This window comes from Homo sapiens, chromosome 3 (genome assembly GCF_000001405.40).
Source record: "Homo sapiens chromosome 3, GRCh38.p14 Primary Assembly".
Classification (NCBI taxonomy): domain Eukaryota; kingdom Metazoa; phylum Chordata; class Mammalia; order Primates; family Hominidae; genus Homo; species Homo sapiens.
This window is the reverse complement of record NC_000003.12, coordinates 31,607,558-31,619,949: the sequence shown is the minus strand read 5'-3', so window position 1 is coordinate 31,619,949 and position 12,392 is coordinate 31,607,558. Positions and strand designations below refer to the sequence as shown.

Genomic DNA, 12,392 nt, shown 5'->3' with positions numbered 1-12,392 from the left:
GAGAAAATTTATCTTGAATATATAGAGTCAAACATAGAAAAACAAAAATTTAAAGTAAATAATCTCAAAAAGAAAAATAACTATTCCATATCAAAGTATTCATTAAAAACCTCTCTTACCAAATACTCTTTCATCGTTGATATTTTTGATGCAGAACCAAAGGCCTGCTGGGAAGGTACATACAAGAATATGTAGATCAAAGAAGAAAGACACCCAAGTCGTAGGTTGATGCTCAGACACTGATGCAATAATTGGAATGTGTATTTTTGCATACCTGGTATTAAAAAAGTTAATATTGTTTACAATTAAGTGATAAAACAGGAGTTCCTTTTAGATGAAGAAATCTTGTTTGGTTGTAGAAATGGTACCTACTCCCTACCCCTTCTTATTTAAATATACCTTCCAAGGTAACCAGTTATACTGGATAGTTTCTGTTTGGTCTACACTGGTAAAACTAAAACTAATATGCCCTCTGTAAAATTCAGAGAATTATCTAGATCCAGACATGAGAATGTTGGCTCTGAATTCCAATACAGAAATCTCTGTTCAACTGGCAATTTGTTCTGTAGTTTAAGTCAGCATTTTTCATGTTTGCATCAACGAGTCTCATTACCTTTTGGAATTATTACTACAGACTGAATATCCTTTATCTGAAATGCTTAGAACCAGCAGTGTTTCAGATTTTAGAATATTTGCATTATACTTACCAGTTCAGCATCTCTAATCTGAAATTCTGAAATGCTTCAATAAGCATTTCCTTTTAGCATCATGTTGGTGCTCAACAAGTTCATGATTTTAGAGCGTTTCAGATTTTGAATACTCAACCTGTAGCAGAAATACTTTACCCAATAATTACACCTTACACAATAATGCCTTGCTTGACATGAAGCTGGCATGGAGACAGGTGAAGGAAATGGAAAGGACTGAAAAAATTATTACTGAAACACCCTGAGATTCTAAAGTAGTCAATTAATTGACTACTTTATAATATAACTGCACAAGTTATATTATAATATTACAATTTTACTTTACAGTTATATATAACTGTATAATTTATTTTACAGTTATATTATTACTTTATAATATAACTGCACAAGTTAACCTAGTAATTTAACCTAATCAGAATAACATTCTACAACTTGGGTTATCCTTCAAATTCGTTAGTGATCCACAGGCTGAACTCTTGAAGTATGTGTCTAATTGTTAGTTCCAGTCATTCATGCATAATTTGCTTATGTCCTTTAATTAGACCTGGACACAAGTCCTTCTGGTATCACATCAGAAAGCATGTCTGTTCAATAAATTGTTTTTTATTGAGCCACCTGGGGAGTAACAAGACAGAACAGCAGGAACAGAGGAGGGGCATAAATTATAATCAATAGATATTTTCTAATCTCCAGGAAAACATTTTAGAGAAAAAAAGTTTTATTGAACTAGTCTAATTCAAAACCAAATGTATTAACTCATTTTATAACAGCACTTTAAAAAAAAAAACCACAACAGATATATATTCTCTTGTGTTTCACAGATTTAAAAAAACAAAAAAACTTAGATCAGATGGTATTAGAAAAAATTAAATTTTCTTCCTATCTATGGCAATTAAACAGTATCCTTAAGAATTCTTAAGAATAAAAAATTATTACTAAAGATGAAAATGTTATAAAAGACAAATCAATCTTTAAATTGCACAAAGGTAACCTAAATATTCTTACAAACAAAACGGAAACAAGGAGTTGCCCATGCAGAACAGTAATACACAACGTACATTTCATACTAAAGATGCATTCAGAACAGGTATCATAACAAGATAAAGTAAAAGGAATTTAACATTTACTAAACTAGCATCTTTGGTACTTAGAAGTGTTGCCCAAGAACTGAGTGAAACACTGACAAAACAGATAAAAACAAAGGAAAAGCAGTATTTCAATAAATATGATGCCAAATAATGTAACTGTACTTACCCAGTATCCCACAATGAATAAAACCTGCCACTCCATGGTGCAATGTAACCTTGGAAGGAAAAACATGGATGAAATTAATCTGCCTTTTTATTATTTTGTAAATCTTTTATTGCCTTTATGTTTATTGCTAATTATAGATAGACAAACTAATGTTCAAAGAATTTCAGTTTTCATTTATAGGTGTCAACCTATTTCAGACAGTTGGCAGTCAGAAAAAATAAGGTAGTGATCAAATAAAAACAATATCCATGGAGAACCCACTTCCAGAGAAACACATTTGAGATAAAGTTGTAGAAAGTTTTCCAATTCTCTTAAGCTTTTAGTTGACTAATAAGGCTAAGGCATTAAACAAGACCAGATCATTTAAAAAAAATAAAATAAACGGGGGGCAGGGGAAAGGGAGTTTCTAAATGATCTAGTCCAGTATGCCATATCCCACCAGATAAATTCAAAGATGATTTTAAACACTCACGGCTTTTACATTAATTTGACAGAATAAATTTAGAAAGAATTCAATTTGTTTCTAAGGACTGGTAAATAAAGGTTAGAGGGTAACTTAGAATCCAGAAGCAGACTGAAACTGATTCTGTTAGTAAACTGCTGAAAAGTAGGGGAGAAAGAGGGAGTGTGTGTGCATGCAAGAGAAGGTGAGCATATAACAGGTAAATAACAGAAGCTCTGATTTTTTTTTTCTTTTTATAGTTTGGGACTATTCATCCAGCAAGAGAAGGACGCTTAAAAGTAGATTTATCAGAGCTTGATGCCACAAAATTAAGATATACTATTCAAAAAAAAAAAAAAAGAAAAAAATCACTTTGTAGTCATGCTGTTATTCAGATTTTAGAAACTTTGGCTATTTTTCTTATATTGTTTGTATAGACAATATTCACACCCTACAGGTGATAACACGTACCTGTATAAGTCAAATAGATGACACTAAGGAACACAGCACCTGCAGCTAGTGATACACCCAAAAAGAAAAGGGTCTGGAACTCTTGTTTTGTTAATCGGTCTCTCAGATACTGCAAGAAAGCATAAGCTTGCAGCAATGCAAAGACACCTAATTAAAGAAAAGGGTCACATAATCAACAAAGCAGTTTTCCAAGGTCATTTAAAAACTTTCATTTGAAAGAGCTTCTTAGAATGTCCTGCACCATTCATATCAAAGACTACTTATTTCATCTAGCCAACATTTCCTTTGTCAAATGACAGTTGCCTAATTAATACATCCAAAAAATTCTGTGACTTTTTTTTTTTTTCCTAAATGATCAGACTCCTTACACATGTACCAGACCAAAGGGGAAAAAAAATCCCATTTGAATAACAAGCCTATTTAACACATTAAGTTCCTCCCTTTCCTCTATATTTTAGGGGGGTTTTCTGGGGTGGAGGGAAGTAATTTTTCAAAATCACTGAAAAACAATTCTCCGATTTGTTTTGCTGAAGGATACAAAGACTTAGGATCAGGATAATCTTGATATATAGTTACTATTTATAACTGAGTAATAAGATGTGACCTTAATTACACATTTAGACAAGATTCTAAATTTGTATCAGGGCTCATGCCAAATTATGGCATCTTGGCATTTGAGAAACCAGCAGAAACTGGGAAGTCTCTCTCATCTTTTCTGTTTGTTCTCCCCTGAGGCAGGTCATAAAATAATTCTCTGACCTTCCTGTAAGTAGGTTATAAGATCCTCATTCCAGAGGGGTCCTTCTAACACCCAGAGGAAAAGATGAAGACACAGAGACACCAAGAAGAATATGAACAAATAGGCCTTAAGTTCTTCCCAGTCTGTTGCCATTAGATCGTACTTCTCTTTGTCCAATCTTATTTCTACATGACTGTCCACTCTTCATCAAACCTAAGCATAAAAATACAGTTTCCCTGCCTTTTTAAAATTTTCACTTCTGAAGACTCTTGTGTCATGTAAAATTTATGCTTTTCTCTTGTTAATCTGTCTTTTGTTAGAGATAACAATCTTTTCTCCCCTACATTAGTAAATATAAAGGTGAGTGCTAAGATATACAAAACTAAAGGAGTAGTCGCAAAAACGGATTCTCAAAAAGTACAAAACATGATACAAAAACATTAAACATAAAACTTTAAACAAAGAGGATGTAAGAATCCTCAAGCATCTAGAATATTAATTTTTAAAAATAAATTCAATTTTAAGGGTTGTTTTTAAAAGTCCATTTTACAATGGTTAAGTAAGTATTATCAAAGATTTAGAGTTTAGGAAATGTTGTAATGCATACGTGTAAAGACAGGTGACTGCGTAATTACATAGACATTCTATTCATTATTGTGTACACAACACTAAATATACATCTCTCTGCGTCTCAAATTACTACTTGGTAAAGTGACAACATCCATTCAGAAATCTAAGTAAAAGCATTTCATAAATTTTAAAGTGCTATATAACAGTAAGATAGTGATTCTTAACTATTCTGGGAAGATGGAGATTAAGTCAGACTCCACTGAGAATCTGATAATAAACTCTATAGAAACACCACCTCTGAAAGTTATATATTGCTATCTATATAGTATCAGTGTACAGATGTTACAAATAAAATAACTACCCACAGACTTCCAATGGGTCATGAACCTTGCAATGAGAATCTCTGATAAAATTTTTATCTACAGATTTCCCATAATTGTGAGTCAGATTACTTTGGTTGTCATTGCAACAACCAAAATGATCAAAAACTGTCATCTCTTGGAAGACTGCCAATCACACGTCCACATATTCTTTAGAAGAAGGAAAATATATATTTTTCATACCTGCAGCTGCCATGTGTTCACTTGTTCTGATTGGCTGGAATCCCACAAAAGGTATCTGCATTGATAATATTAAACCCACAATGTAGAAAGTGCTATATGCTATAAAGACAAAATAGGAAACAAGGATAATTTACTACTACCATTAAGTACCTAAAACATAAATGTATATGTAAATCCTGTTTTTAGCAAAGTATTAACTGAATTTAAGAACAGAATCTTGAAATGACTTTTATTAGATGTCCATTTGTTAACCATATGTTACAGATTCTGAATATTCTATCCATTTTTCAAAAATACTAAGTACTATATTTTGCAGATCATTACAACAGTTTGTGAGACTTGTGTTGCATTCCTTTCCCAGAAATGGAATCAAGTTTGTTTTGATCTACCATTAGCAATCATTCATACGACTCAAGAAGCTAAGTAATACATACATAAAATTAAGTAAATATCAGTCCTATTGGCATTAATCCAAAATACACGACTTAATACTCATCACCACTGCCAGCATGTGTGAATACCTGCTACTGTCTCAAAAGCTCTGAAGTAGTTCATACCTTTTTATTATCCCATAATACCTTTGTATAGTACTATGAGTTAAATAAATTCATATGTCCACCAAGTTTTCTGTAATTAAAGAACTAAGTACACAGAAGTCAAGCCATTATACAGACCAGCTACTGAATTTAGCATCTAATAAAAGAAACTCACTTCTTTTCACACTAAGTATGTTATAGTATTCTCATCAATCTAAATTAAGTTTGTCAATCTAAATGGACAAGGAAACTGGGGAGGGATTTACAATTTGTGTCAAATACCTGCTTTATATTCACAGACCACTGTTACGCAATTGATTAGAGAGAAAGTATTTGAAGTCACTGAAACTAAAAATTCATTAGAAATAAAGCCCATCTGAAATAAGTTAACGTAAAAACTACCCCATTTATACAGATTACACATCATTTAATAGTTTTTGGCAAATAAACTACTCTATCAAAAACAAAGATTGGGGGGTATATTTAGGAATACACGTATTTGTGTATCCTATATACTGTGTAGCATAGTGTACTACACACTTTCCTCCTCACCCAACTTAGATGAGAAAGAATATTCATTTGCTTTTAAAAGAAATCCATCTAGAGAAGGAAGTTAGGGGCTACTGGTTCAAATATTAAGTTGCCTCACAATCTATATGATAAGAGATGACCACAGTGTTAGGAAGACAGTAAGAAGCTCATAAATTTAATAGGAAGGACCAAAGTAAGTAAAGTTTCCACTGACCTCAAGCTAATGGAGGACCAGATGTCTAGAAGACAACAGACATAATCCATCAGATAACGTTCTTTCCAAACACATTAATGTTGGAATGGAATTACCCTCTATGACGTACCCAAACCCAAATGTAATCAAAGTTAAACAAAAATTTCCCCGTCACATGACCCGAAATGTCTACAAATTATTTTTTTAAACAAATCAGCCTGTTGAAGCCCTGATAAAGGAGAGTCACAGAGGCAGGAAAGAGAGAGAAAAAAAAAAGAACCATGCATACTAAAGTATAAAGAAAATTAAAAACTGAGAAGAAGATCACTATGTAATCTTACAACTACTTAACAGCAAAAGCTTCAGTTTCCTCACTATAGAATGTGGGTTGGACAAGATTTGTAGATCCCTCCCAACAATTATAAACTAAGATTCTATGATCAACAGGCCTTTCAGATATCCAGAGCTGAGAAGTCAAATCCTAGACAAACACTGAACACACAAAGGCACAACTAGAAACTGACTAGGCCTGAGAAAACCTTATGTCATTTATGTTTTTATTATAGCTAAGTCCACTTATGTTGAAACACGACAATCACTTCTGAAGCTGGATTTCTTTCTTCTAAGTACAAATAAACACTGAATGCTGTAACACTGCCACAGAATTTAGGTTTAATATAAGAAATGATACAAACTGAATGAAAAAGCCTTCTTAAAAAAATTGAGGTGAAAGTCACATGACATAACCATTTTAAAGAGAACAAATTCAGGGATATTGAGTACACGCATAAGGTTGTGCAACCACTACCCCTCTATAGTCCTAAAGAATTTTCATTACCCCAAAACAAAACCCTACACTCACTAAGCTCTTACTACTCCACATTCTGTCCTATTTCCAGCCCATGGTAACCACAAATCTGCATCTGTCTGTATGGATAATTGGTTCAATTGCAAAGGTAATAGATGTTGTTTTTGTCTTAAAGTAAAAAGTGAAAAAGTTTCCACCCTATTTATTTCCCTCTAAGTCACATTCTCCAGAAATAATCACTAGCAGGTATATGGGTACACAAATACATATTCATAGTCATATTCATACTTTCTCTTCAAATGGAGCCACACTTTGCTTGACAATGTAAAAATTTTAGCAATCATGTTTGGTAACTACAGATGAAGTTTCATCTTAGACATTTGCTCAAATTCATTTCCAGGCGTATTTGAAAAGAGGAGACCCGATAATACTCTCAATTCAGCACTTCCCTGCAACTTCTCAGAGATATTTACTATCATTAGTAAAGTAGAAAACATTTTATACAGAAGCAGATGCACTAGAGTTTAAGTTAATAATAAGAGTGATGGAGAGTTCAAGAAAAAGAAAATAGGAAATGAAAAAGCCCAGGTGGGACTTTAATTTGTATTATTTGGTAAACATAGGTTAATGCTAAAGATAAACTAATAGAAACAGACAAGTTTTCAACAGTATTTTACCTTGAAACTTCCTCTATCCCAATTAGTCTCATTCATACCCACTTACCAGCACCAATGGTACAAATCTGATAAACGTGGTATCTACAACAATCCAAACATAAGCATTTACTTTTAAGAGAACTGGACCCAAGTACCTATTTTTCACATTTTTTGGATCACTGAACCTGAGATGTTTACATATTGGAGGTATGTGTTTTATGTCATAACACTCTTCAGTGCACGGATAGACACAATTTGAATATCCCTTATCTAAAATGCTTGGGACTAGAAGTTTTTTGGATTTTTGGAATATTTGCATTATACTTAATAGCTGAGCATACCCAAACTGGTAATGCAAAACAGGAAACGCTCCAGTGAATATTTCCTTTGAGAATCATATTGGTGCTCAGAAAGTTTTGAATTTTCAAATTAGGAGTACTCAACTTGTACTTCCATTAAATAAAGTTGAAGATTGCTTGCCAGATAATATGTCAAATACAACAAATACCTTGCTTAATACTGACTGCTCTGCTTGAATTTGTAAAATTACACATATATTGCTATATCTCAATTTAAATCTCATTTACAAATCTACATTTTAAGACATAGAAAATAAGAAATTAGATACATCTGAGTAAAAAAAATGGTGAAGTAACTCAATTCTTAAAAATAAACACAATCTTGGCCAGGCATGATGGCTCACACCTGTAATCCTAGCACTTTAGGAGGCTGAGGCGGATGCATCACTTGAGGTTGGGAATTTGAGACCAGCCTGACCAACATGGAGAAACCCCGTCTCTACTAAAATTACAAAAATTAGCTGGGTGTGGTGGCGCGTGCCTGTAATCCCAGCTACTTGGGAGGCTGAGGCAGGAGAATCGTTTGAACTGGGGAGGCAGAGGTTGCAGTGAGCTGAAATCGCACTGCACTCCAGCCTGGGCAACAAAAGCGAAACTCCATCTCAAAATAAATAAAGAAACACAATCTCCACTGCAAAATGAAAACATACGCTTTTTGCCAGACTTTGTACTACAGCATCTAATATATGTTTAGAAATTACCTCTTCAATTTATGCATTTAAACATTAACTTGAGTATGGTCAATATATTCTAAAAACAGAAAATCCCATTAAGATCAATCCTACCCTCTAAGAGTCAGATAAATTGCTAAAAATCAGAGATGTAAACAAATAACCATAATATTAGGAAGAAAGGTCATGTGACATTTGGTGGGGGAAAGGCTCTATAAAACTTAAGATCTCTTCTTTTCTTGACATGGACTTCGAAGAGGTAATTAATGTCTGGTACTGTTCTCTAGTGTTTTCAGAAGACCTCAACAAGACAAACCCATAGCCATCATTCTCTACCAATTCTCCTTCCAATGAACTCTTTAAGAACCCTAACTAAACTACTATACCCATCTATTACAATTTTCTATCCATCCATGTAAACCTACTTTTCTTACCCTTTAAGTTAGAAGAATAAAGCATTCCATCAAAGTGGTGAGCTCTAAGGAAATACATGATACCAATAGTGTTGTAAATCATTTATTACATCATGAAAATGTTACCACACTGCCATCCTGTGGATGCACAGTTACTGGCATTCATTACTGGAGATGATAATTCCAATGTGTGAGAAAAATTCCACAAAAAATTACCATTAGAAAGATATGTATATACATATACACACACATATATTATTATTCTGTTTATTCTTAACCAAAGAAAATCTCTCATCTGGGACAGATAAGTAATAATCTCAACAGAACCTAAAGATGTCTACATTCTTGGAAATATTTTATATCCAAGGGTGGGACGAGACAGATATAGAGAAGAAATATACCATAGTCCTTGACTTAATGTGCTCAAGTGAATTATTCTAGAAAAGAAAAGGCACTGAAAAGTCTGACTCAAATTCAAATGAAATTTTAAGTATTGAAGAAGTTTGCTGTTCCCCAAAGCAATCTTTAAGTACCTTCTCTCTGATAAGGCATTGCAGCTTACATTGACAGTGCTCTTTACACTTTTAAGTTATTGTTATACTTCTTTTTATGTAAATAAAGTTAGAAAAGGTTATGCAAATACTATATTCCCATTAACTTTAACCCATGTTAAATCACATTAGCATTTTTGAATTGCTTTGCTCTCTCTCAACCAAAATAGTATTAGCCAAAACACACACAACGGGTAGATACTTTAAAATCCAACCAATTTTGCTTTATTATAAACAAATATGATTAAAGGCTTATGAAGGCTTTGAATACTAAAGATATTTTATTTCTTTGTAATCACTTCTGGTTACTGTGAACCCTGGTAGATATGCAGGATAAAGAATAGTAAGAAACATGGATTAAAGAATAAAACAACAAAAAAACACAAAACACTGATTCTTCTTGACCAGCAGAGAAATATATGATTAACTTAACAGGCATACATAATGATAAAAATCATTTCTCTTTTCCAAGGACAATGCTCATTATAAACTATGTTGAGAATGAATCACTGAAACTTATATTTTACAAACTCCAGACTTGTAAAAGCAGCAAGAAATTACTTACGTGTTCAAAACACTTCAGTAGAGATACTTAATCACAACATTTTTAAAACAGCAAGTGTGGCCGGGTGTGGTGGTTCACGCCTGTAATCCCAGAACTTTGGGAGTTAAAGACCAGCCTGCCCAACACGGTGAAACCCCATCTCCACTAAAAATACAAAAATTAGCCAGGTGTGGTGGCACATGCCTGTAGTCCCAGCCACTCAGGAGGCTGAGGCAGGAGAATTGCTTGAACCCAGGAGGCAGAGGTTGCAGTGAACCGAGATGGCACCACTGCACTCCAGCCTGAGTGACAGAGTGAGATTCTGTCTCAAAACAAAACAAAACAAAACAAAAAAACAAAAAAACAAACTCAGCAAGTGTATCTGGTACTGATAACTAAAATGAAAAAACAAATCTAAACAAAGTACATCTTGGTTTAAGTTCTACCCTGTGGGAACAATTCATTTAATTCTGGCAATGTTTAATGAAATAATATTAAAATATAGTGAAATTACAAAGGTACTGTATGTGTGGTGTGTTTGGAGACTATGAAAAACTCATGGAATATATAATTTTTATGTAACTTAAGAGGTGTTAGGTAATGATCCTCAGTAGCTTCTAGAGCTAAGTAGTGACTATACCTAACATATCAAGAAGTAGTAAAAGACAAATACCAGCAAATTTAATTCACTCATAAAGAAGAGAGTAAAACAAACAAAAAATAAAAAAAGATTTAAACTACAGGAAATCACAAATCCTGTTACCACAAGTCATGTTGCCACTAAAAACGTTTTGGTTCTTCTTAACACATCCTTTTCTTTCTTTTCTTGAGACAGAGTCTTTTTCTGTCGCCAGGCTGGAGTGCAGTGGCATGATCTCGGCTCACTGCGACCTCCGCCTCCCAGGTTCAAGCAACTCTCCTGCCTCGGCCTCCTGAGTAGCTGGGACTACAGGTGCATGCCACCAAGCCCAGCTAATTTTTGTATTTTTAGTAGAGATGGGGTTTCACCATGTTGGCCAGGATGGTCTCGATCTCTTGACCTCGTGATCCACCCAACTCAGCCTCCCAAAGTGCTGGGATTACAGGCGTGAGCCACTGCACCTGGCCAACACATCCTTTTCTTATTGTCGACTACTACTGTAGTAGGCTCCTAAATTCATTTAACTGATACCATGAAGAATCCATAACTACTTCTATGCAGGAGTTAATTCTTCTGGACTATGAAACACACATTTCTCAATGAGAAGAATAGACCTTTAAAGGAAATCTCACTCAGGTCTATTCTTCTAGATAATGGTTGGCCTGTAGAACATGAAGACTGTTTCTATTCACTGAAAGCCTTTTTGATCAGGCCAATGATTATTGCTACAACACAGGTGAGATCCTTGCTCTAAATATCCCGAGTTTTAATATAAGGAGATACTGGAGGACTAATCCTTGTGAACTACACAATGAGTCATATTAGCAGCATAGGTGGTGCAAGCAATACCATCTTCCCTTTGTGTTTGAACTTTCAGTTTCCCCCAACCCCAATAACCTCTAAAATATCCACTGGCAAAGCTGCAAAGAAGATCCATAAATATTGTAAACCGATCTAAGGAAAATCCCATCTCTTTCCCCCAATAACTAGCTTCAGTGCCTGTTACAACACTCATCTTGAAAACTCACTTTATGTAATCAACACTGAAACTTCTAATTTTAAATGAAAACCTATGGAAAAAATAGGGGCGGAGGAGTGTAGTTATTGTAGTCCCGTTTGCCTGTCTGCTCTTGGCTCACCTACCTTGAAGGTACAATAAACAGTAAAGGCAAAACAATTAATGCAAATAATAATATTGCATCTGTAGAAGATGGAATCTTGTCTTGATAAAACTTTATCTGCCACAAACATAAAACTGTACAGCCTCTTATTGTTTTCAATACCTTAGGATCAAAACCATCAAAACTACTTGTTTAATTACATACTGAATACCACTGTAAATACTGGGGTGTAATCCCAAATATTTTGTGGCAACAAAATGTAGCTATATTAAATAAAATGCTGCTGGGCACAGTGATTCACGCCTGTAATCCCAACACTTTGGAAGGCGGAGGTGGGAGGACCACTTCAGCCCAGGAGTTCGAGACCACCCTGGGCAACTTAATGAGATCCCCCTACCATTTCTACAAACAACAACAACCACAACAACCCCCCAAAAACAACAAAAAACAGGAAATCAACGTTTTATTTGCTATAAACCCTGTAGTATTTGACTTTTTCAACTATATACATTTATTCAATTATATAACACTTGGATCAGTCTGTTCTCATACTGCTGATAAAGACATACCTGAGACTAGGCAATTTACAAAGAAAAAGAGGTTTAATGCTCACAGTTCCATGT

General features: G+C 34.2%; 1 protein-coding gene across 3 annotated transcripts in view; it reads right to left on the bottom strand.

Annotated features, from left to right (window-relative positions):
* Positions 1–12,392, bottom strand: part of STT3B (STT3 oligosaccharyltransferase complex catalytic subunit B) — a 104,692-nt gene that overhangs the window by 17,667 nt on the left and 74,633 nt on the right. For all 3 annotated transcript variants that reach the window (NM_178862.3, XM_011533465.2, XM_017005858.2), the window contains exons 6-9: positions 4,747–4,845; positions 2,875–3,021; positions 1,962–2,010; positions 120–274 (exon numbers count right to left, since the gene is read on the bottom strand). In NM_178862.3, coding sequence (NP_849193.1) covers positions 120–274; positions 1,962–2,010; positions 2,875–3,021; positions 4,747–4,845 — 450 coding nt within the window. The remainder of the gene's footprint in view (positions 1–119; positions 275–1,961; positions 2,011–2,874; positions 3,022–4,746; positions 4,846–12,392) is intronic.